General features: G+C 39.2%; 1 protein-coding gene across 3 annotated transcripts in view, besides 1 other annotated feature; it reads right to left on the reverse strand.

Annotated features, from left to right (window-relative positions):
* The window catches only part of FAF1 (Fas associated factor 1), a 523,240-nt gene that overhangs the window by 431,803 nt on the left and 65,825 nt on the right, over positions 1-25,612 (reverse strand). The gene's annotated exons all lie outside the window — the stretch shown is intronic.
* Positions 4,827-5,121: an enhancer, noted in NCBI's record as "tiled region #673; HepG2 Activating non-DNase unmatched - State 13:Ctcf, and K562 Activating DNase unmatched - State 5:Enh". NCBI's record gives its function as "activates a minimal TATA promoter and a strong SV40 promoter by Sharpr-MPRA in HepG2 and K562 cells {active_cell/tissue: HepG2 | K562}" and the evidence as "EXISTENCE:reporter gene assay evidence [ECO:0000049][PMID:27701403]".

A 25,612-nucleotide genomic window follows, 5' to 3' on the forward strand; every position in this document is an offset into this window, starting at 1 on the left:
GCTAAATGTTTCATATGCATATAAATGTGTATTCTATCTGTTATTGTGTGGAATTGCCATTTAACTCTATAAATGTCAATTAAGTCTAGTTATTGATAGTACTGTTCAAATTATCTGTATCTTTACTGATTCTACTTGTTCTATTAATTACTGAGAGAGAACTCTGAAAATCTCCATTTGTACTTGTGGATTTGTCTATATCTGCCTTCAGTTTTGCCAATTTTTGCTTGACAATGAGTGTACACAAATTTGAAGTGTTACCTTCTTGAAAAATTGATTCTCCCGCGATTATGTTTCTTTTATCTTTGGTAATATGCCTTGTACTCAAGTCTACTTAGTCTGGTATTAATATTGTCATCTAGCTTTTCAATAATAGTTTCATAGTATATAATTTTCCATATTTTTTAACTGTGGCTTTACTTTTATAGTACATTTCTTTTAGACAGACTATAGTCAGGTCTTGCTTTTTATCCACTACAACAACATCTGCCTCTATATCAAAGTATTTAAAGTACTTATATTTCATGTAATTATTATGGTTGGGCTTGAGTCTGCCACACTTCTACTTATTTTCTAATCATCCCATTCTCTGGTGGCTTTTAGTGCTTATTTTTTATTTTGTTATTATGAGTTAAGTATATGACATGGTGTTTGTTGTTGCATGTTTTAGTAAATCTAAGACATTCTCAACTTTTATTCATTTGAATATTATCTCTCCTACATAATCAATTCTGCTCTTTCAGAGCTCCTACTTGCCATGGAGGTGCATCTCATTCTAGCCTCCATGTCATCTTTTAAATTTTCTATACAAATTTGTACAGTGATGATTTACTTTATCTTCTATACCATTTTTTTAAACCTATAGTTTTCCAATTTACCTACCTAGTATAGAGTTTTTTCTTTGAGGATGTACTTTTAGATTCTTTATAAAATCCAATCTATTCTATTTTTTCACTATTTCTGGCTTATAAGTTCTATTCTCTACAGTTTTACATATTTTAAACATATCTACCTTAAAGTCTCTTTGTTACCAGTTCTCAAGTTGTTAGTTCTATGATTTTGGCATCTGCTGAATGTGATTGTGGCTTCTCCTGTGGTATATAACGTCTAACAACTGAGTTCATCTTCAGAAAGATTTATTTTCATACCATGCATTATGATGGTATCCTTATAAAGTGTTTCCTGTACATGCATTTGCTGAACTTTATGGACTTCATTAGTTCTAGACCAGTTTTAATTTGCATGAATTCAATCTTAATCATTTGACAGAATTTTGTATAAGCAAACACATTTTATTACACTCTACAGCACCGTGAAGATATTGCATTTTTAAAAAATTGAAGGGGCCGGGCACATTGGCTCACGCCTATAATCCTAGCACTTTGGGAGGCCAAGGCGGACTGACTGACTGAGCTCAGGAGTTCAAGACCAGCCTGGGCAACACAGTGAAACCCCGTCTCTACTAAAATACAAAAAATTAGCTGAGCATGGCAGCATGTGCCTGTAGTCCCAGCTACTCGGAAGGCTGAGGCAAGAAAATCACTTGAACGCGCGAGGCACAAGTTGCAGAGAGCCGAGATTGCGCCACTGCACTCCCGCCTGGGTGACAGGGCAAGACTCCATCTCAAAAATAAAAAAGAAAGAAAAAATTAGAGGTTTATGGCATCCCTGCATCGAGCAAGTCCATCAGAACCATTTTTCCAATAGTACACGCTAATTGCATGTTTCTGTGTCACATTTTGGTAATTCTTGCAATGTTTCAAACTTTTTCACTATTATTATATATATTATGGTAATCTATGATCTTTGATGTTACTATTGTAATTGTTTTGAGGCGCCACAAACCATGCCCACAAGACAATGAACTTCATCAATAAATGTTGTATGTGTCCTCACTGCTCTGCTGACCTGCCAGTTCCCCATCTCTCTCCTCCTTGGGAGTCCCTATTCTCTCAGACACAATATTGAAACGAGGCCAATTAATAATCCAACAATAGCCTCTAAGTGTTCAAGTCATGTTTCTCATTTTAAATCAAAAGCTTAAAATGATTAAGCTTAATGAGAAAGAAATGTTGAAAGTTGAGATAAGCTTAAAGCAAGGTTTTTTTGCACCAAATAGCCACATTGTGAATGCAAAGGAAAAGTTCTTGAGGGAAATTACGTGTTACTCTAGTGAATATACAAATAATAAGAAAGCAGAACAGCCTTACTACTAATATAGAGAAAGTTTTAGTGGTCTGAATAGAAGATTAAACCAGTCGAAACTTTTGCTTAAGCCAAAACCTAATGCAGAGCAAGGACCAAACTTGCTTACATTCTACGACACAGGTGAGGACACGCAGAAGAAAAGTTTGAAGCTTGCAGAGGTTGGCTCAAGAAGTTCAAGGAAGGAAGTCATCTCCATAACATGAAAATGCAAGGTGAAGCAGCAAGTGCTGATGTAGAAGCTGTAGTAAGTTTTATTCAGGACCTAGCTAATTGATGAAGATGCTTACACTAAACAGCAGTAGTAACATTCTATGTGGATAAAACAGCCTTCTATTGGAAGAAAACATCATCACAGCAAAAGAGAAGTCAATGCCTGGCTTCAAAGCTTCAAAGGGCAGGCTGACTTTCTCATTAGGGGCTAATGCAGATGGTGACTTTCAACTGAAGCCAATGCTTATTGACCATTCTGAAAATCCTAGGTCTCTTCAGAATTATGCTAAATCTATTCTGCCTGTGCTCTCTAAATGGAACAACAAAGCCTGAATGACAGCACATCTCTTTACCATATGGGTTACTCAATATTTTAACCCAGCTTCTGGGACCTACTGCTTAGAAAAACAGATTCCTTTCAAACTATTACTATTCATTGACAATGCACTTGGTTACTCAAGAGCTCAGATAGAGATGTACAAAGAGATCAAAGTTGTTTTTCTGGCTGCTAACACAACATCGATTCTGTAGCTCATGGGTCAAGGATTATTTTTGAATTTCAAGTCTTGTTATTTAGAAAAACGAGGCGGGCGGATCACGAGGTCAGGAGATCGAGACCATCCTGGCTAACACGGTGAAACCCCGTCTCTACCAAAAATACAAAAAATTAGCCGGGCATAGTGGCGGGCGCCTGTAGTCCCAGCTACTCGGGAGGCTGAGGCAGGAGAATGGCATGAACCCGGGAGGCGGAGGTTGCAGTGAGCCGAGATTGCGCCACTGCACTCCAGCCTGGGCAACAGAGCCAGACTCCATCTCAAAAAAAAAAAAAAAAAAGAAAAAGAAAATACATTTCATAAAGCTATAATAGCTGCTGTAGATAGTGATTCCTCTTATGGATCTGGGCAAAGTACACTGAAAACTTTCTGGAAAGGATTCACCATTCTAGATGCCATTCATAATTCATGGGAAGAGGTCAAAATATCAACATCAACAAGAGTTTGGGAGAAGTTGATTCTCACCCTTATGGATAATTTTGAGGGATTCAAGACTTCAGCAGAGGAACTGCAGATATGGTGAAGACAGCAAGATAACTAGAATTAGAAGTGGAGTGTGAAGATATGCATGAATTGCTGCAATCTTATGATAAAACCTGAATAGATACGAAGTTGCTTCTTATGGATGAGCAAAAAAAGTGGTTTCTTGAGATGAAAATCTACTCCTGATGTAGATGCTGTGAACACTGTTGAAATGTAAACAAAGGATTTAGACTATGACATAACCTTAACTGATAAAGCAGCAGTAGGGTTTGAGAGGATTGACTCCAATTTTGAAAGAAGCTCTAGTTTGTGTAAAATGCTATCAAACAGGCTGGGCGCGGTGGCTCATGCCTATAATCCCAGCACTTTGGGAGGCCGAGGCAGGCAGAACACCTGAGGTCAGGAGTTCGAGACCAGGCTGCCCAACATGGTGAAACCCTATCTCTACTAAAAATACAAAAAAAAGTAGCTGGGTGTGGTGGTGGGTGCCTGTAATCCCAGCTACTCAGGAGGCTGAGGCAGGAGAATCGCTTGAACCTGGGAGGCGGAGTTGCAGTGAGCCGAGATTGCGCCACTGCACTCCAGCCTGGGCAACAACAGCGAAACTCCGTCTGGAAAAAAAAAAAAAATTGCTATCAAACAGCACTGCATGCTACACAGAAACCTCTCATGAAAGAAGGCCAACCAATGCAGCAAATGTAATTGTTGTCTTATTTTAAGAAATTGCTAGAGCCACCCCAACTTTCAGCAACCACTATCCTGATCAGTCAGCACCTATCAACGTTGAGGCAAGACCCTTCACCAGCAAAAAGATTAATACTTGCTGAAGGCTCAGGTGATAATTAGCATTTTTTTTAACAATAAAGTGTTTTAAAATTAAGGTACATGCTTTTCTTTTTAAGACATAATGCTACTGCACACTTAATGGGCTACATAATAGTGTAAATATAACTTATATGCACTGGGAAACCAAAAAATTAGTGACTCACTTTATTCAGATATCTACTTTACCGCATTGGTCGGGAACTGAGCCTAAAATAGTTCTCACTTTTTGAGGCTAACGATGCCTTTTTCCCCTATGGCCCTGGGTAAATGGTCACCTTTTTTACTGCTTCCCTGAATCTTCACGAAAATTTTACTAGACATTATTTGAAATGTACACGCCAGGCTTTTATAGCTCCTTCCTTGTATGACAAGACACCAGCAGGACTTACTTCCCCATCTGGGCAAGACAAACTTAAGAAAATGGCCAGAACCTGCAGATGGCGCCAAAAGCAACCTCTAGTGACACTCATTGTTCATTAGCATAAGATACTCCGACCAACACCATGATACTTTACAAATGCCACAACTCAGAAGTTACCACTCCTTTTCTAGGGATTTCTGAAAAACCTGTGCCTTAATTTGCATGTAATTAAAAGTGGGTGTAAATTATTAACCAACAGCCCACAAGGGCTCTCGGCACACTGCCTATAGGTTAGCCCTGCTCCGCAAGGTGGCAGTGTGAGTTTAATAAAGTTGCTGTGTTTCACTGCTGACTCATTCTTGAATTCTTTTCTGTGCAAAGCCAAGAAACCTCCCAGGCTAAGCAAATCTTGGGTCTCGCATACCCTGCATCATTGCTAGAGAACAGAGGTCTTATATCTCATCTCCAGGCATAAGACCAGTCTTCAGCCCCTAGTATCTACATCCAGTTGAGAGGGCCAGTTGCTGAAAGCAACTGTAGAAATGATGCAGGGTATGTGAGACCCAAAATTTGGGGCTTAGTCTGGGAGGTTCTGATAAAACCATTGCAATGACACTGATTTCCCTTTTTGGTTCTAGTACCTGACAATTGTCTATTTTTGCTTTCTAGCTTGACCATATTTAGTATTTTTGTTGTTAATACTTTATTCTACTGGCTGATTTTATTTAGTATTAAAGAGGGTCTTCAGTCTACCAGACCATTTGAAAGTCTATTGTTTATTATTTTCTTCATTCTGTCTTAAAACTAATTTCTTAAACATAAAAATAAAACCATCCCATACCCTGGTATACCCTCCATCAACACTTCATAATTTTAATATTTGCTATATGTTTTTAATTTATTGTTTTGAGACAGAGTCTCACTCTGTCACCTAGCCTAGAGTATAGTAGTGTGATCACAGCTCACTATAATACTGAACTCCTAAACTCAAGTGATCCTCCCACCTCAGCTCCCAAGTAGCTAGGACTACAGGCGAGCACCACCAAACCCAGCTAATTTCTTTACTTTTCGTAGAAATGGAGTCTCACTATTACCTAGGCTGGTCTTGAGGTACTGGTCTCATACAATCCACCTGCCTCAGTCTCCCAATGCACAAGGATTACTGGCATTAGCCACCATGCACAGCCAACTGCCCTATATATTTCAAACCCACTTTCTAAAAAAGTCAGAAATGTTTATAGATGATTTAAGTCTCCATCCCTTCTCCATCTTATTTTCTTTTCTTTCTTTTTTTTTTTTTTTTTTTTTTTTTTTTGGAGACAGGGTCTCACTCTGTCACCTGGGCTGGAGTGCAGTGGTGCAGTCACAGGTCACTGCAGCCTCAACCTCCCGAGCTCAAGCAGTTCTCCTGTCTCAGCCTGTAATGTAGCTGAGACTACAGCCATGGACCACCATGCCCAGCTAATCTTTGTTTTTCGTTTTCTGTTTTTGTAGAGACAGGGTTTTGCCATGTTGCCCAAGTTGGTATCTCATTTCTTTTCCTTCTTCCCTTCCCAGAAGTGTGAGAAAGTTATACCACCATGTTTTTTATATTTTTACATTATATATGAATTCATATTAAAGAATACTGAATTTTTTTGTTTTTCAAAGTATTCTATAAATCATACCAATCTGAATCTATTGTTTTGTTACAAAAGTAATGGTTTCCAGCTGTCCCTATACTCATTTATTTCTTATTTATTTCATTTTATTTATTTTCAGACTGTAGATTTTGGGGGTTTGTTGTTTTATTTATATATTTTAATTAACAAAAATTGAATATATTTATCACGTACAATATAATGTTTTGAAATATGTATACATTGTAGAATGGCTAAATGGGGCTAACATATGTATTACCCTACATATTTTAGCATTTTTTTGGTGAGAACACCTACAATCAACTCTCTACCCAACTTTCAAAAATATGATACATATATTCTTTTTTTCTTTTTTTTCTGAGACAGGGTCTTACTCTGTTGCCCAGGCTGGAGTGCAGTGGCACAGTCTCAGCTCACTGCAACCTCCCTCTCCCAGGTTCAAGCAATTCTCCTGTCTCAGCCTCCCAAGCAGCTGAGATTACAGGCACTTGCCACCATGCCCAACTAATTTTTGTATTTTTAATAGAGACGGGATTTCACCATGTTGGTCAGGCTGGTCTCGAACTCCTGATCTTGTGATCCACCCCCCTCGGCCTTCCAAAGTGCTGGGATTACAGGTGTGGGCCACTGCACCCAGCCTCTAATACATACATTCTTATTAAGTACTGTCATCATGTTATACAATACAGCTCATGAACTTACCCCCCTAACTGAAATTTTGTATCCTTTGACCAATACCTCCCCAACTCCCCAGACTCTAGTTTTGATAAAACCAGTCATTCAAATCCTCCTTTAACTATCACTACCATCCTTTTCCTCAAAAAGACAACTGGTTTAATTTCGTATGTGTGTTTTTGTGTTTTAACAAATAAGAATGCTCCAACTATTGCCCTGAAGCAGCTCACTGTCTAAGAGGACAAAAGCATGTAAACAATACTATAGTAGGATATGTGCTATAATAGTATGTAAAATGTGTAAAACGACTAAAAAGAGACAGTAAATGACCTACAGAAAATAAAGGTATGCATTCCAGAGGACACAGTACTTGAGCAGGCTTCGTGCTTCTCAAGATGAAATGGAGTACGTCAGGCAAATAAAAGGTGGAGAACATTCCATACAGAGAAAACATTATGGCCAAAGACACAGATGTATGAAATTAAGGTACGTTCTGGAAAGTAAAAGTAGGTCAAATCAAGAATACCTAGTACCCAGATCTTATTTTCTAATACCACTGTTCAATAAAAGGAACCAGTGTTCCTTGTAGAAATGGCTAATTCTAGGACTGATATTAGGAAGGCAATATACAAGACGAACCTGGAACACCTTGTAGTGCCAGAATGCAAGTAAGTGTTCAAATGTAAACACCACACATACATACACACGTACACTAATGATGGGGATACGACAAACGAATACGTCAAAGGGATATAAAGCTAACTGAACTCCCAATGGCCAAAGCTAAAACATTTGTTTTTTTGTTTTGTTTTGTTTTGAGATGGAGTCTCACTCTGTCACCCAGGCTGGAGTGCAGTGGCGCAATCTCAGCTCACAGCAACCTCCGCCTCCCAGGTTCAAGTGATTCTCCTACCTCGGCCTCCTGAGTAGCTGGGATTACAGGAGCACCACCACACCTGGCTAATGTTTGTATTTTTAGTAGAGATGGGGTTTTGCCATGTTGGCCAGGCTGGTCTTGAACTCCTGACCTCAGGTGGTCCGCCCACCTCGGCCTCCCAAAGTGCTGGGATTACAGGCATGAGCCACCGCACCCAGCCAAAAGCTAAAACATTTCAACAAAGTGAAGTAGTATTGAATTACAACCTAAATTATAAAATAAATATCCATGAGTCCAGATAGATATAAATAAATGATTTAATAAATAAATAAACAGGGAAGAGACAAATTCCTTATGTAAAAGAATTTCAAATAATTTATGTAGCTACTCCACCCTCAAGGAGGTTGAGTATAATTTCCTATTCCTAAAGTATGGGATGCACATAGTAACTTCCTTCCCAAGGGCGACAGCACAGGTAGTGGGGAGAAAGAGTACCTTTACAGTGGAGAAACCTAACAACGCTCAGTCAGGTGATCAAGGTCAATATCAACAATGCTAAGTCATGTTAAAATATAATGTGATGAAAATGGTACTTTACCTCTGTGGTCTTCCTTCCCAAGTCCCATAGTTCCAGTTTAATCATGAGAAAAAGATTAGACAAATCCCTACTGATGTACACTTTACAAAATACTTGAACAGTATTCTTGAAAACTGTCAGCCATCAAAAACAAGGAATGGCTGTGAAACTAACACAGAAGGAGGAGCCTAAGGAAGTATAGTAACTAAATCTAATGTGGTATCTTAGATGGCATCCTGGAACAGAAAAGAACATTAGGTAAAAATATCATATATTATGTATTAAAAATACATGTAAATATACATTAGGGTTAGAGCTACCTACACCTAACCCTAATATAGGTATAAATATGTGATGTTTATAATAAATATTTATATTACATATGTAATATATGTATGTTCCACTAGTTACATTATTCCTTTTTTATACCAACATGTAACAGTTCTTTGTTTTCTAAGTACCCTCCTGGCCAGGAAGAAATGCTTCCTCATTCTAATTAGTGTTTTCTCCCTTCAGTTTACTGCTGACTAACAGAAACGGCTGTTGTGAAAGTTAATTATATAAATTCTTGTGATACCCAACTAAATCAGAGACAAGGAGCCAGAGGGAAAAAGCTCTCAGAGCACATAGTACTTGCTGCAAGAATTATTTTCCACAAGCCCAGTTGCTGAAATGGCCTTCTATAACCCTAAGAACATTTTCACCTAGCAGCTGCTGAAACAACCTGTTGTTGCTCTAAGACTGGTTTTACCTACCACTATCACTTGCCAATCTGAGCTTGCCAGCTCACAAAAGCTTCTGTAGTACCAATTAGCTTTCCTTCAAAACAATATATAACATTTCTCTTTTTAATAAAACTAACCTTCTCTTTGTTCTTCAGACATACAAAAGACCACCCAGTCTGTGTATGCCCCAAACTGCAATTCTTGCTTCCCAAAATATAACATTAAATTTAGAAATTTGTCTCCATATTTTACTGACTTCAACACTGTGCCCTTTGAAACAAAATGAACTTAGTAAGCATGAAAGTTGTTTTTGATGAGTTACAGTGTTGTCCACTGGTAGTCAAAGCTATCTATTTTCCTAAGCAGTCCTCAGAGAACTAAATTCAGCTATTACTCAAAAGCCAAAGAAACCAGTAAGAGGCTAGGATTCTAGTCAGGTAACTCACAACCTTTTGAAACAGACACAGAAACATCTGCTGTGGGTGGTTTCTTCTCATTTCACCCTAAGACCTAGAGCTAAGATATAAAAGTTATCAAAATACAGCAAGGAATATTCAAGTAACAGAATTCTGAAATTAAGGAATTGAGGCCACAGAAAACACTCAAAATCAATTTGGTATCCTCACCATAAAACCCTTACACATTAGCAGCCAACTAAGAAGTTATTTATGATGAGCCAAGCAATTTACAGTACCTTTTAATCCTCTCAATGATACCACAAGATAGATATTATTATGCCCATTAAAATCCTTACACATTAAAAACTAACTAGCAACAAGTTACTGTGGACCAGGCAACTTAGTTTATCTCATTTAATCATCTCACCAACCCTATGAAGTAGATACCATTATGACCATTTTAACAATGAGATTAAGCAATGAGCCCAGAATCACAGTGTTAGCAAATGATATTAGAATTACAATCCCAGAACACTTTCCCCCACAGCTCTGTCTCTCTTGTTAAATGTTACTAAATGAAAGCATAAGTGAATCAGATTAGGGCAGGTATGGTGGCTTATGCCTATAATCCCACCATTTTGGGAGGCCAAGGTGGGCAGATCACTTGAGGTCAGGAGTTCAAAACAAGCCTGACCAACATGGTGAAACCCCGTCTCTCCTAGAAATACAAAACTTAGCCGGGTGTATGGTGGGCACCTGTAACCCCAGCTGCTGGGGAGGCTGAGGTATGATAATCTCTTGAACCCGGGAGGCGGAGTCTACAGTGAGACAAGATTGCGCCACTGCACTCCAGTCTGGGCCACAGAGCGAGACCTTGTTTCAAAAAATAAACAAATGAATGAATGAATGAATGAATGAATGAATCAGATTAATGTAATTCATCTATGACTGGTTACCTCAATTCATTAGAAACCAAATGGAATTTGGTAACTGTTCTCTGGTGGGAGGGTGAATACAAAGATGACCATATATTCCCTATACTCAGAAATTCACAACCTAGTATATGTACAAACAATTAGCTTTATGAACCAGAATGAAAATAATTGCTATAATATATGTTAAAAACTGTATCTGATGAAAGAGAAAATAAAAAATTAATTCCAATTAGGTAGATGGGAAAGATTCAGGGGCAGAAAACATTTAAGCTAGATCATGAAAGAGAACTAGGATTTCAACAACTGAAAACGGGAAAATACATCAGATTTACAAATGTAATTGTCTTTTGAGGCTAGGTAGGTACCTCAAATTTGTGGTTCTCAAAGTGTTGTTCCTAGACCAGCAGCATCAGCATCACCTGAGAACATGTTTGAAATGTAAATTCTCAGGCCTGACCCCATACTCCTAAATCACAATCTCGGGTTGGGGTCCAGTAATCTGTGTTTTAACAATTCCTCCAGATGATTCTGATGCAAGCTAAAGTTTAAGAACCACTGCCTTAATTGGCTAAGGCAGTCAGAAGAAGTAGGATGATAAGATGTGGAAGGGACTATGGGAATCTGCCTAAGAGAACTCCAATTCAAATTTCTAGAAACACTGAACCAACAACAACAACAAAAAGCATAAGTCTTGACAAAGTAGAGAAAAACACATATCATTTCATCTTCTCTATTATTTATGCTAAAGCAAACACAAGATAGCCTGGGTTAAAACTTCTATTTTGGCCAGGACACAATTTCCAATCCACTGACTCCTTTCTAGCCTGCTAATATTAAGGAATGTTACTGGTTTCTATCCAGTAGTGTCTAAGGAGCATGCTTTCATGAAGAATTAAATTGATGTCAAGCAATAAACAGACCAGCCAAGGAGCTGATATTCATGTCTTGATTAAGAAATAAGATTTCTGTTAATTAAAAAAAGGGAAAAAGGGCTATCACAAAAGAAGTGGGGGTAGAGTGAGAGGAAAGGATTTTGTAAGAGTATCATGCTCCAAAATATAAAGTATTAGGAACTGCATGTTTATGCCCCTCCTCAATTCATGTTAGAGCCCTAACTCCCAATGTGGCTGGCCGTATTCGGAGTAAGGAAATAATTAAGGTTAAATGAGGTCACAAGGACGGGGCACTGATCCAACAGGATTACTATCCTTATAGATAGAAATACTAGAGAACTCGTACACTATCTCCACATGTACACACCAAGGAAAGTCATATGAGGACACAGTGAGAAGGCAGCCATCTGCAAGCCAGGAGGAGCCTTCGCTAGAAATGATATCATGTGAAACATTGATCGTGGACTTCTAGCCTCCAGAACTGTGAGAAAATTTGTTTCTGTTGTTTAAGGCACCCAGTGTACGATATTGTTACGGCCACCTGAGTAAAATGTGGCATAACAAGAGCAATTAATGTAGGGCAGAACAAAAAGAGAATAAGTTTGACTTACAATATTATAAATTTCATGAGTTGTTCAGTCGTAGAGTTACCATCATAGAAAGGAAAAAAACTAAACTCTAGCACACCATTTGGCTCTGCAATTTCAATGGTACTTGTTGGTTTTCAGCTTTGGAATCACCTTCTGGACCAGTGGTTCTCAATGCTTGCTATATAAAAGAATTACCTGGATATATATATATTTTAAATGTCAACATCACTAGCTTACAAACTCAGAGATTCTGATTGTAATTAGTCTGAGTGGGGTTCAAACATTAGTACTGTTTAAAAAGCTCCCCAGGTGATTCTAATGAGTGTAGCTAGTATGAGAATCACTGTTCTAGACAAATACAAGAATTATTTTGCTAAAACTTAAAAGTGAAAGAAAAATAAAAAATCCTAGGCCCCATTCCCAGAGACTCTTTTTTGGTTAGTTTTTGATGAGGCCCAAGAATCTGTATTTTAGAAAATTCACTAGGTGGTTGTGATGTAGGTGGCCCCCTTATACAATCTACTGAACTTCTCTGGCACAGAAATATTTTTGGTATTGTTCTTGTGCACATGCTGTTTCCTCAGTCTGGAAGGCTACTTTCAAAGTTGTCCTCCTGGTGAACTCATCCTGAAAGACCGAAAACTTAAGTACTGTCTCAACTTGAGTTTCATGGTAACTGATTATTTACATGACTGAATTAATTATTCCAAAAATCTACCTATCACACTCCCTCACACTACCAAAAGAAGGAACATCCAGTCTACAATGAAGTCTTCCACATATTATGATACAGAGGATACTGGGGATTTGAGTAAATACTTCCATACATGTCAGTAAGTTGAAAGTATCAATCGGGAAGACCCTTGGCAACACCTGCAGGTATTTTTGCAGAGCTGATGTTGTTTTCCATATAGCAAAAAAAACAAGCTTATCACTGTTATCTCTCCCATTACATGAGTGGTTTCTAAAACACTTGAATCTTATTTCATCTACCACAGAGGATTATATTAAATGCCTATATATAATTTTAATGTTGAACTAAGAAATTCTTTAATAGCTGCAGAAAAAGTGCATTTATGAGAAGGCAACATTAATATGTGCATTGAAAACATATACAGGTAAAGCATAAATTTTTCAGCTGGAAACCCTGAAAATTGTAAGATTTTTGCTCTTCAGTTGATGTATTTGGAGATTATGTATTTTAATGGTGACTTCACACAAAAGGCATTGTTTCAATACCCATGAAAATAACAATGCTTTAAAAAACAGTAAGCATCTAAAATGTCGTCATTACTCTAAACAAAGATTATTGCACCAAAATACAAAATACATAAAATATATAATACACATAAAAACACATAGTTGAAAAGAAACCAAGTTCCATATTACTTAAGCCTAAGCCCTAAATTAAGCCCCAAAAGAAAACACCTTGGAAGAAAAAACTCTGGCTAACAAAACAAGAATGGTAAATGTACATTGTAAGAAGATCTAAAATGAAAGATAAGTTGCTGCATTAAATATACATATGTAGGCCAGGCACAGTGGCTCACACCTGTAATCCCAGCACTTTGGGAGGCCAAGGCGGGTGGATTACTTGAGGTCAGGAGTTTGAGATCAGCCTGGCCAACATGGTAAAACCCTGTCTCCACTAAAAATACAAAAATTAAAAAATTAGCCAGGCATGGTGACACATGCCTGTAATCCCAGCTACTCAGGAGGCTGAGGCAGAAGAATGGCTTGAGCCCGAGAGGCAGAGGTTGTGGTCAGCCAAGATCACCTCACTGCAGTCCAGCCTGGACAACAGAGCAAGACTCTGTCTTAAATAAATAAATAAATAAATAAATAAATAAATAAATAAATAAATAAATGTGTATGTATGTATGTATGTGTAAACACACACAAACTAAAAATACTAGGTTAATGGCTGGGTGCGGTGGCTCACACCTGTAATCCCAGCACTTTGGGAGGCCAACGTGGGCAGATCACCTGAGGTCAGGAGTTCAAGACCAGCGTGGCCAACATGGTGAAACCCCATCTCTACTAAAAATACAAAAATTAGCTGGGCATGGTGGCAGGCACCTGTAATCCCAGACACTCGGGAGGCTGAGGCAGGAGAATCACTTGAACACGGGAGGCGGGTTGTAGTAAGCCGAGATTGCGCCACTGCACTCTAGCCTAGGCAACAGAGTGAGACTCTTGTCTCCAAAAAAAAAAAAAAAAACTAGGTTAATGCATTGATTTTGAAATGCAGCTTAGAGATCTAAAATCAGGACTCATAAATGCCCACCAGATTTGATAACCAGGAGGTCACTGTTTGCCCCACCTGGAAACCCCTATTTACGCACCTAGGATGCAATTCAAATGCCTAAGTGTCCAAAACAACACTGGGCAACTAACAGATGTATGGGACAATCTGAACATCAAAAATAAAAATGTCTGAAATAAAAAGAAAAATAAATAAAAATGCCTATACTGAATTATAATACACTGAATAAATAAAAATCCATGTTGATTCTTTTAAAAATGGATTTTTATTTGCAAAATGCTAAAGTATCACCCCCAGATTACTTGCTAATTTGCCAGTTACCACCTAAACTAAATGACCAAACTAAGTATCACAAATACTAAGACAACGTCAGGTTATAAGCCTTCTGGTATACGATATAAAGTTGACAGTATCACTCATGAAGCAAAGTCTTCCACCAATGTCTTATCAAGCCTCTAGACTTAAAGGAAGAAGACAAGTCAAATGACACCATGAAGAAACAACTGAACAACTCTAAAATGCACATTTCACAAGACTATCCTGGACCCCTCACAAGTTAATGTTATTCCCTCCCCTCCTTCCACAAAGAGTTAGGAGACCTCTTCCACACTAAAAGAGACTAAAGATACAACCATCAAATGTAATATACAACTGTAAATTAGATACTGACAGGAAAAGCTGTAAAAAAAATTTTTTCAGCATAACTAGGAAATTTTCAGTGTTGCCTGGATTTTAGAAGATATTATGGAATTATTAATTTACTGAGACGTACAGTATTGAGTATACGGGAAATTAGGCCAGGCGCAGTGGCTCATACCTATAATCCCAGCACTTTGGGAGGGTGAGGCAGGCGGATCACCTGAGGTGAGGAATTCCAGACCAGCCTGGCCAACATGGAGAAACCCCGTCTCTACTAAAAATACAAAAATTAGCCAGGCATGGTGGTGCACACCTCTAATCCCAGCTACTCGGGAGGCTGAGGCAGGAGAATCGCTTGAACCCAGGAGGCGGAAGTTGCAGTGAGCCAAGACTGCACCACTGCACTCCAGCCTGGGCAACGGAGCGAGGAAGTACTTAACAATGAAGTATAATGATGTCTACAAGTTACTTTCAAACAACAAAGCAACAAACTTGTATGTATACATAGAAATAAAACACATGACATGTTAAAAATTCTTAAATATAGGCCAGGCACAGTGACTCAAGCCTGTAATCCCAGCACTTTGGGAGGCCGAGGCGGATGGATCACTTGAGGCCAGGGGTTCAAGACTAGCCTGGCCAACAGGCGAAACCCTGCCTCTACTAAAAAAAAAGAAAAAAAAAATACAAAATTAGCCGGGCATGGTGATATGCACCTGCAGTCCCAGCTACTCGCGATGCTGAGGCAGGAGAATCGCTTGAACCTGGTAGGTGGAGGTTGCAGTAAGCTGAGATCACGCACTCCAGTCTGGGCCACAGAGTGAGACTCTGTCTCAAAAAAAAAAAAAAAAAATTTTTTTTCTTAAATACAAGCAGATTTACTTGTGTATGCTGAACCATCCTTGGATCTCTCAGACACATCCCCCTTGGTCATGATTAATAACTTTTTTAATGTGTTGTTGAATTTTGTTTGCTAGTATTTTGTTGAGGATTTCTGTATCAGTATTAGTTGGGGATACTGAACTGTAGTTTTTTTTGGTTTGTTTTTTGTTTTGATGTGTTTTTTTCTGATTTTGGCATCAGGGTAATACTGGCCTTGTAGAATGAGTTTGTAAGTATTCCTTCCTCTATTTTTCATATTAGGTTGAGTAAAATTGGTATTCGTTCTTCTTTATGTATATAGTAGAATTTAGCAGTTGAGACCATTGAGTCCCAGGCTTTTCTTTGCTGGCAGATTTTTCGTTACACCTTCGATCATGTTGCTGCTCGTTATTGGTCTCTTCAGGTTTTAGATTTCTTTATGGTTGAATCTTGGAAGGTTTTATTTGTCTAGAAAATTACTTCCTTTAGATTTGTCAATTTATTGGCATATAGTTGCTCTGAGTAGTCACTAATGAACCTTTGAATTTCCACAGTATCAGACATAACGTGTCGTTTTTCATCTCTGATTTTATTTATTTGGGTCTTCTGTCTTTTCTTAGTCTGGCTAAAGATTTGTCAATATTGTTTATCTTTTCAAAAAAACCAACTTTGCCTTTCATTGATCTTGTGTATGTTGAAGTCTCTAGCTATTATTGTATTAAGGTTTCCCATTCTCTCCGTGTCTCTTTCTCTCTCTCTCTCTCTCACACACACACACTCTCTCTCTCTCTCTCTCAATATTTGCTTTACATATCTAGGTGCCCCAGTGTTAGATGCATATATATTCACAATTGTTATGGCCTCGCTGAACTGAGCCCTTTATCATTATACAGTAACCTTTGTCTTTTCTTATAGTTGTCCTGAACTTTATTTTGTCTGATATAACTATAGTTATGCATGCTCTTTTTTGGTTTCCATTACATGGAATATCTCTTTCCATCCCTTTATTTTCAGTCTATATGTGTCTTTATAGGTGAAGTGTGTTTCTTGTAGGCAACAGACCATTTGGGTCTTGTTTTTGTATCCATTCAGCCACTGTCTTTCCATTGAAGAGTTTAGTCCATTTATATTCAATGTTACCATGAATAAGTAAAGATTTACTCCTGCCATTTTGTTACTTGTTTTCCAGTTGTTTTGTGGTATTCTCTTCCTTCTTTGTTGCCTTCCTTTCTTCCTTTTACAGAAGGTGACTTTCTCTGGTAGTATGAGTTAATTTCTTGCTCTTTCTTTCTTGTGTATATTCTGTATGTTTTTATATTGGAGGTTACCACGAGGCTTCCAAATACTATCTTATAACCCATTATCTTAAGCGGATAACAACTTGAAACTGTTTACATAAACAAAAAAAAGAAGCAAAAAGAAACACTCTACATCTTAACATCAGCCCCCCTCTTTTTAACTTTTTGTTTCTATTTATATCTTCCTGTACTGTCTATGTTTTGAAAAGTTGTTGTAGTTATTTTTGATCAGTTCATATTTTAGTCCTTCTATTTGAGAATGGTTTACACACCAAAGTTATAGTATTATATTATTCTGTGTTTTTCTGTGTATTTACTGTTGCCAGTGGTTTATTTTACCCTCAAGTGATATCTTATTGCTCATTATCATCCTTTTCTTTCAGATTGAAGTACTCCCTTTAACACTTCTTGTAGGACAGGTCTGGTGTTGATGAAATCCCTCCGCTTTTCTTTGGGAAAGTATTTCTCCTCATGTTTGAAGGATATTTTCACTGAATATTTTATATTATTCCAGGGTCAAAGTTTTTTTCCTTCAGCTTTTTAATTACTATACTTTAAGTTCTAGGGTACATATGCACAATGTACAGGTTTCTTAGATATGTACACATGTGCCATGTTTGTGTGCTGCACCCACTAACTCGTCATTTACACTAGCTATATCTCCTAATGCTATCCCTCCCCACTCCCCCCACCCCACAACAGGCCCCGGTGTGTGATTTTCCCCTTCCTGGGTCCATGTGTTCTCATTGATCAATTCCCACCTATGAGTGAGAACATGTGGTGTTTGGTTTTTTCTCCTTGCAATAGTTTGCTGAGAATGATGGTTTCCAGCTTCATCCATGTCCCTACAAAGGACATGAACTCATCCTTCTTTATGGCTGCATAGTATTCAATGGTGTATATGTGCCACATTTTCTTAATCCAGTCTATCATTGATGGACATTTAGGTTGGTTCCAAGTCTTTGCTATTGTGAATAGTGCCGCAATAAACATACGTGTGCATGTGTCCTTATAGCAGCATGACTTATAATCCTCTGGGTATATACCCAGTAGTGGGATGGCTGGGTCAAATGGTATTTCTACTTCTAGATCCTTGAGGAATCCCCACATTGTCTTCCACAATGGTTGAACTACTTTACAGTCCCACCAACAGTGTAAAAGTGTTCCTATTTCTCCAAATCCTCTCCAGCACCTGCAGTTTCCTGACGTTTTTAATGATCGCCATTCTAACTGGTGTGAGATGGTATCTGATTGTGGTTTTGATTTGCATTTCTCTGATGGCCAGTGATGATGAGCATTTTTTCATGTGTCTGTTGGCTGCATAAATGTCTTCTTTTGAGAAGTACCTGTTCACATCCTTCGCCCACTTGTTGATGGGGTTGTTGTTTTCTTGTAAATTTGTTTGAGTTCTTTGTAGGTTCTGGATATTAGCCCTTTGTCAGATGAGTAGATTGAAAAAATTTTCTCCCATTCGGTAGGTTGCCTGTTCACTCTGATGGTAGTTTCTTTTGCTGTGCAGAAGCTCTTTAGTTTAATTAGATCCCATTTGTCAATTTTGGCTTTGGTTGCCATTGCTTTTGGTGTTTTAGACATGAAGTCCTTGCCCATGCCTATAGCCTGAATGGTATTGCCTACATTTTCTTCTAGGGTTTTTATGGTTTTAGGTCTAATAATTAAGTCTTTAATCCATCTTTGAATTAATTTTTGTAGAAGGTGTAAGGAAGGGATCCAGTTTCAGCTTTCTACATATGGCTAGCCGGTTTTCCCAGCACCAATTATTAAACAGGGAATCCTTTCCCCATTTCTTGTTTTTATCAGGTTTGTCAAAGATCAGATGGTTGTAGATGTGTGGCATTATTTTGGAGGGCTCTGTTCTGTTCCATTGGTCTATATCTCTGTTTTGGTACCAGTACCATGCTGTTTTGGTTACTGTAGCTTTGCAGTATAGTTTCAAGTCAGGTAACATGATGCCTCCAGCTTTGTTCTTTTGGCTTAGGATTGTCTTGGCAAGGCAGGCTCTTTTTTGGTTCCATATGAACTTTAAAGTAGTTTTCTCCAATTCTGTGAAGAAAGTCATTGGTAGCTTGATGGGGATGGCATTGAATCTATGAATTACCTTGGGCAGTATGGCCATTTTCACGATATTGATTCTTCCTATCCATGAGCATGGAATGTTCTTCCATTTGTTTGTATCCTCTTTTACTTCATTGAGCAGTGGTTTGTAGTTCTCCTTGAAGAGGTCCTTCACGTCCCTTGTAAGTTGGATTCCTAGGTGTTTTATTCTCTTTGAAGCAATTGTGAATGGGAGTTCACTCATGATTTGGCTCTGTTTGTCTGTTATTGGTGTATATGAATGCTTGTGATTTTTGCACATTGATTTTGTATCCTGAGACTTTGCTGAAGTTGCTTATCACCTTAAGGAGATTTTGGGCTGAGACGATGGGGTTTTCTAAATATACAATCATGTCATCTGCAAACAGGGACAATTTTATTCCTCTTTTCTTAATTGAATCCCCTTTCTTTCTTTCTCCTGCCTGATTGCCCTGGCCAGAACTTCCAACACTATGTTGAAAAGAAGTGGTGAGAGAGGGCATCCCTGTCTAGTGCCAGTTTTCAAAGGGAATGCTTCCAGTTTTTGCCCATTCAGTATGATATTGGCTGTGGGTTTGTCATAAACAGCTCTTATTATATTGAGATACATCCCATTAATACCTAATTTATTGAGACTTTTTAGCATGAAGGGCTGTAGAATTTTGTCAAAGGCCTTTTCTGCATCGATTAGGTTTTTGTCTTTGGTTCTGTTTATATGCTGGATTACGTTTACTGATTTGCGTATGTCGAACGAGCCTTGCATCCCAGGGATGAAGCCCACCTGATCATGGTGGATAAGCTTTTTGATATGCTGCTGGATTTGGTTTGCCAGTATTTTATTGAGGATTTTTGCATTGATGTTCATCAGGGATATTGGTCTAAAATTCTCTTTTTTTGTTGTGTCTCTGCCAGGCTTTGGTATCAGGATGATGCTGGCTTCATAAAATGAGTTAGGGAGGATTCCCTCTTTTTCTATTGATTGGAATAGTTTCAGAAGGAATGGTACCAGCTCCTCCTTGTACCTCTGGTAGAATTTAGCTCTGAATCCATCTGGTCCCGGACTTTTTTTGGTTGGTAAGCTATTAATTATTGCCTCAATTTCAGAGCCTGTTATTGGTCTATTCAGAGATTCAGCTTCTTCCTGGTTTAGTCTTGGGAGGGTGTATGTATCGAGGAATTTAACCATTTCTTCTAGATTTTCTAGTTTATTTGCGTAGAGGTGTTTACAGTATTCTCTGATGGTAGTTTGTATTTCTGTGGGATCGGTGGTGATATCCCTTTTATCATTTTTTATTGCATCTATTTGATTCTTCTCTCTTTTCTTCTTTATTAGTCTTGCTAGCAGTCTATCAATTTTGCTGATCTTTTAAAAAACCCAGCTCCTGGATTCATTGATTTTTTGAAGGGTTTTTTGTGTCTCTATCTCCTTCAGTTCTGCTCTGATCTTAGTTATTTCTTGCCTTCTGCTAGCTTTTGAATGTGTTTGCTCTTGCTTATCTAGTTCTTTTAATTGTGATGTTAGGGTGTCAATTTTAGATCTTTCCTGCTTTCTCTTGTGGGCATTTAGTGCTATAAATTTCCCTCTACACACTGCTTTAAATGTGTCCCAGAGGTTCTGGTATGTTGTGTCTTTGTTCTCATTGGTTTCAAAGAACATCTTTATTTCTGCCTTCATTTCGTTATGTACCCAGTAGTCATTCAGGAGCAGGTTGTTCAGTTTCCATGTAGTTGAGCAGTTTTGAGTGAGTTTCTTAATCCTCATTTCTAGTTTGATTGCACTGTGGTCTGAGAGACAGTTTGTTATAATTTCTGTTCTTTTACATTTGCTGAGGAGTGCTTTACTTCCAACTATGTGGTCAATTTTGGAATAAGTGTGATGTGGTGCTGAGAAGAATGTATATTCTGTTGATTTGGGGTGGAGAGTTCTGTAGATGTCTATTAGGTCCGCTTGATGCAGAGCTGAGTTCTATTCCTGAATATTCTTGCTAACTTTCTGTCTCACTGATCTGTCTAATGTTGACAGTGGGGTGTTAAAGTCTCCTATTATTATTGTGTGGGAGTCTAAGTCTCTTTGTAGGTCTCTAAGGACTTGCTTTGTGAATCTGGGTGCTCCTGTATTGGGTGCATGTATATTTAGGATAGTTAGCTCTTCTTGTTGAACTGATCCCTTTACTACTATGTAATGGCCCTGTCTCTTTTAATCTTTGTTGGTGTAAAGTCTGTTTTATCAGAGACTAGGATTGCAACCCCTGCCTTTTTTTGCTTTCCATTTGCTTGGTAGATCTTCCTCCATCCCTTTATTTTGACCCTATGTGTGTCTCTGCACGTGAGATGGGTTTCCTGAATACAGCACACTGATGGATCTTGACTCTTTATCCAATTTGCCAGTCTGTGTCTTTTAATTGGAGCATTTAGCCCATTTACATTTAAGGTTAATATTGTTATGTGTGAATTTGATCCTGTCATTATGATGTTAGCTGGTGATTTTGCTCGTTAGTTGATGCAGTTTCTTCCTAGCATTGATGGTCTTTACAATTTGGCATGTTTTTGCAGTGGCTGGTACCAGTTGTTCTTTTCCATGTTTAATGCTTCCTTCAGGAGCTCTTGTAGAGCAGGCTTGGTGGTGACAAAATCTCTCAGCATTTGCTTGTCTATAAAGGATTTTATTTCCCCTTCACTTATGAAGCTTAGTTTGGCTGGATATGAAATTCTGGGTTGAAAATTCTTTTCTTTGAGAATGCTGAATATTGGTCCCCACTCTCTTCTGGCTTGTAGAGTTTCTGTCGAGAGATCCCCTGTTAGTCTGATGGGCTTCCCTTTGTTGGTAACTCGACCTTTCTCTCTGGCTGCCCTTAACATTTTTTCCTTCATTTCAACTTTGGTGAATCTGACAATTGTGTCTTGGAGTTGCTCTCCCTGAGGATTATCTTTGTGACGTTCTCTGTATTTCCTGAATTTGAATGTTGGCCCGCCTTGCTAGATTGGGGAAGTTCTCCTGGATAATATCCTGCAGAGTGTTTTCCAACTTGGTTCCATTCTCCCCGTCACTTTCAGGTACACCAATCAAACGTAGATTTGGTCTTTTCACATAGTCCCATATTTCTTGGAGACTTTGTTCATTTATTTTTATTCTTTTTTCTCTAAACTTCCCTTCTTGCTTAATTTCATTCATTTGGTCTTCAATCACTGATATTCTTTCTTGCAGTTGATGAAATCGGCTATTGAAGCTTGTACATGTGTCATGTAGTTCTTGTGCCACGGTTTTCAGTTCCATCATGTCATTTAAGGACTTCTCTACATTGGTTATTCTAGTTAGCCATTCGTCTATCTTTTTTCAAGGTTTTTAACTTCTTTGAGATGGGTTCGAACATCTTCCTTTAGCCCAGAGAAGTTTGGTCTTCTGAAGCCTTCTTCTCTCAACTCTTCAAAGTCATTCTCCATCCAGCTTTGTTCCGTTGCTGGTGAGGAGCTTCATTCCTCTGCAGCAGAATTCTAAAAATTCTGATTTTTAGAATTTTCAGCTTTTCTGCTCTGGTTTCTTGCCATCTTTGTGTTTTTATCTACCTTTGGTCTTTGATGATAGTGACATACAGATGAGGTTTTGGTGTGGATGTCCTGTTTGTTAGTTTTCCTTCTAGCAATCAGGACCCTCAGCTGCAGGTCTGTTGGTGTTTGCTGGAGGTCCACTCCAGACCCTGTATGCCTGGGTTTCAGCAGCAGAGGCTGCAGAACAGCGAATACTGCTGAACAGCAAATGTTGCTGCCTGATGATTCCTCTTGAAGTTTCGTCTCAGAGAGGTACCCAGCCGTGTGAGGTGTCAGTCTGCCCCTACTGGGGCCTACCTCCCAGTTAGGCTACTCAGGGGTGAGGGACACACTTGAGGAGGCAGTCTGTCCGTTCTCAGATCTCAAACTCTGTGCTAGGAGAACCAATACTCTCTTCAAAACTGTCAGACAGGGACATTTAAGTCTGCAGAGGTTTCTGCTGCCTTTTGTTCAGCTATGCCCTGTCCCCAGAGGTGGAGTCTACAGAGGCAGGCAGGCCTCCTTGAGCTGCAGTGGGGTCCACCCAGTTCGAGCTTCCCCGCCACTTTGTTTACCTACTCAAGCCTCAGCAATGGTGGATGCCCCTCCCCCAGCCTTGCTGCCACCTTGCAGTTCAATTTCAGACTGCTGTGCTAGCAATGAGTGAGGCTCCATGGGCATGGGACCCTCCAAGCCAGGAGTGGGATATAATCTCCTGGTGTGCCGTTTGCTAAGACCATTCAAAAAACACAGTATTAGGGTGGGAGTGACCCAATTTTCTAGGTGCCATCTGTCACAGCTTTACTTGGCTAGGAAAGGGAATTCCCTGACGCTTCATGCTTCCTGGGTGAGATGATGCCTCACCCTGCTTTGGTTCACGCTTGGTGCGCTGCACCCACTGTCCGACAAGCCCCAGTGAGATGAACCTGGTACCTCAGTTGGAAATGCAGAAATCACCCATCTTCTGTGTCGCTCACACTGGGAGCTACAGACTAGAGCTGTTCCTATTTGGCCATCTTGGAACCGCCTCCCTTCAGCTCTTTAAGTATGTCATGCCACTCTCTGCAGCCTGTAAGGTTTCCACTGAAAACTCTGCTGCCAGACATGCTGGAGCTCCATTGTATGTTGTTTCTCTTCTCTTACTGCTTTTAGGATACTTTATCTTTGATCTCTGGGAGTTTGGTTATTAAATGTCTTGAGGTAGTCTTTCAGTTGAATCAGCTTGGTGTTCTATAACCATTTTTTAATTATATACTAATATCTTTCTCTAGATTTGGGAAGTTCTGTTATCCCTTTAAATAAACTCTCTACCCTTATCTCTTTCTCTACCTCCTCTTTAAGACCAATAACTCTTAGATTTGGCCTTTGAGGCTATTTCCAAGATCTTTTGCCTAGAATGAAGGCATGCTTCATTCTTTTTTATTCTTTTTTCTTCTGTCTCCTCTGACTGTATTTTTAAGCAGGTTGTCTTCACACTCACTAATACTTTCTGTCTGATCAATTCTGCTACTAAAAGACTTAAAATGCATTCTTGAGTAGTTCAATTGCATTTTCAACTCCAGAGTTTCTGCTTGATTCTTTTTTAATTAATTCAGTCTCTCTGATAGACTTCTGAATTCCTTTTCCATATTATCTTGAATTTCTTTGAGTTTCCCTCAAAGCAGCTCTTTGGAATTCTCTGTCTGAAAAAGGTCACATATCTGTTTCTCCAGGATTGGTCCCTGGTGCCTCATTTAACTCATTTGGTGAAGTCACGTTTTCCTGGATAATCTTGATGCTTATGGATGTTTGCTGGTGTCTGGGCATATATATGAGTTAGGTATTTACTGTAATTTTTGCATTCAGGGCTTCTTTGTATCTGTCCTTGGGAAGACTTTCCAGGTATTGGAAAGAACTTCGGTGTTGTGATCTAAGTCATACCTGCATTAGGGGGCACCCCAAGCCCAGTAACACTGTAGCTCTTACAGACTTCTAGAGGTATTGCCTTGATGGTCTTGGATAAGATCTGGAAGAATTTTATGGATTAGCATATAGAAACTATTGTTATCTTCCCACACTTTCTCCCAAACAAATGGAGACTCTCTCTCTCTCTCTCTGTACTGAGTTGCTTGGAGCTGGGGGTGGGGTGACACAAGTACTCCTATGGCTGCCACACTGGGACTGTGCTGGGTCAGACCTGATGCCAGCACAGTACTGAGTCACATCCCAGGCTGCCTGTAACTACTACCTGGCTACCAACTATGTTCGCACAAGGTCCTATGTCTCAAAAATCAGCAGATGGTGAAGCCAACCAAGCTTATATCCTTCCCTAAAGCATGAAAATTTCCCCCTAGGCCTTAGGGCAGGTCCAGGGATACTGCACAGAAGCCAGACTAGGGTCAAACACCTTAGAAACCTACCTGGTATTCTATTGTACTGCGGCTGAACTGGCACTCAAACCACAAGACTACAGTCCTTCCCATACTTCCCTCCCCTTTCCATAGGAAGAGGAGCCTCACCCTGTGGTAACCACCACCACAGACCCATAGGGACTACTGCCAGGCTACTGCCAATGTTCTCTTGAAGCCCAAGGGCTGCCTGTAATCCCAACACTTTGAGAGGCCAAGGTGGGCAGAACCCTTGAAGCCAGGAGTTCAAGACCAGCCTGGCCAACATGGTGAAACTCCGTCTCTACTAAAAATATAAAAATTAGCCAGGTGTGGTGGCACATGCCTGTAATCCCAGCTACTCAGGAGGCTGAGGCATGAGAATTGCTTGAACCCAGGAGGTGGAGGTTGCAGTGAGCCAAGATCACACGACTGCACTCCAGTCTGGGTGAGACAGAGAGACTCTGTCTCAAAATTAAAAAAAAAAAAAAAAAAAAAAAAAACTCCAAGGGCTCTTCAGTCAACTTGTGGTGAATGCTGTCAGGCCTGGGACTCTCTCTTCAGGACAGTGGGCTCCCCACTCTGGTTGGTCCAAGGCAGGTCCAAAAATGCCAA

This window comes from Homo sapiens, chromosome 1, assembly GCF_000001405.40.
Source record: "Homo sapiens chromosome 1, GRCh38.p14 Primary Assembly".
Lineage (NCBI taxonomy): Eukaryota > Metazoa > Chordata > Mammalia > Primates > Hominidae > Homo > Homo sapiens.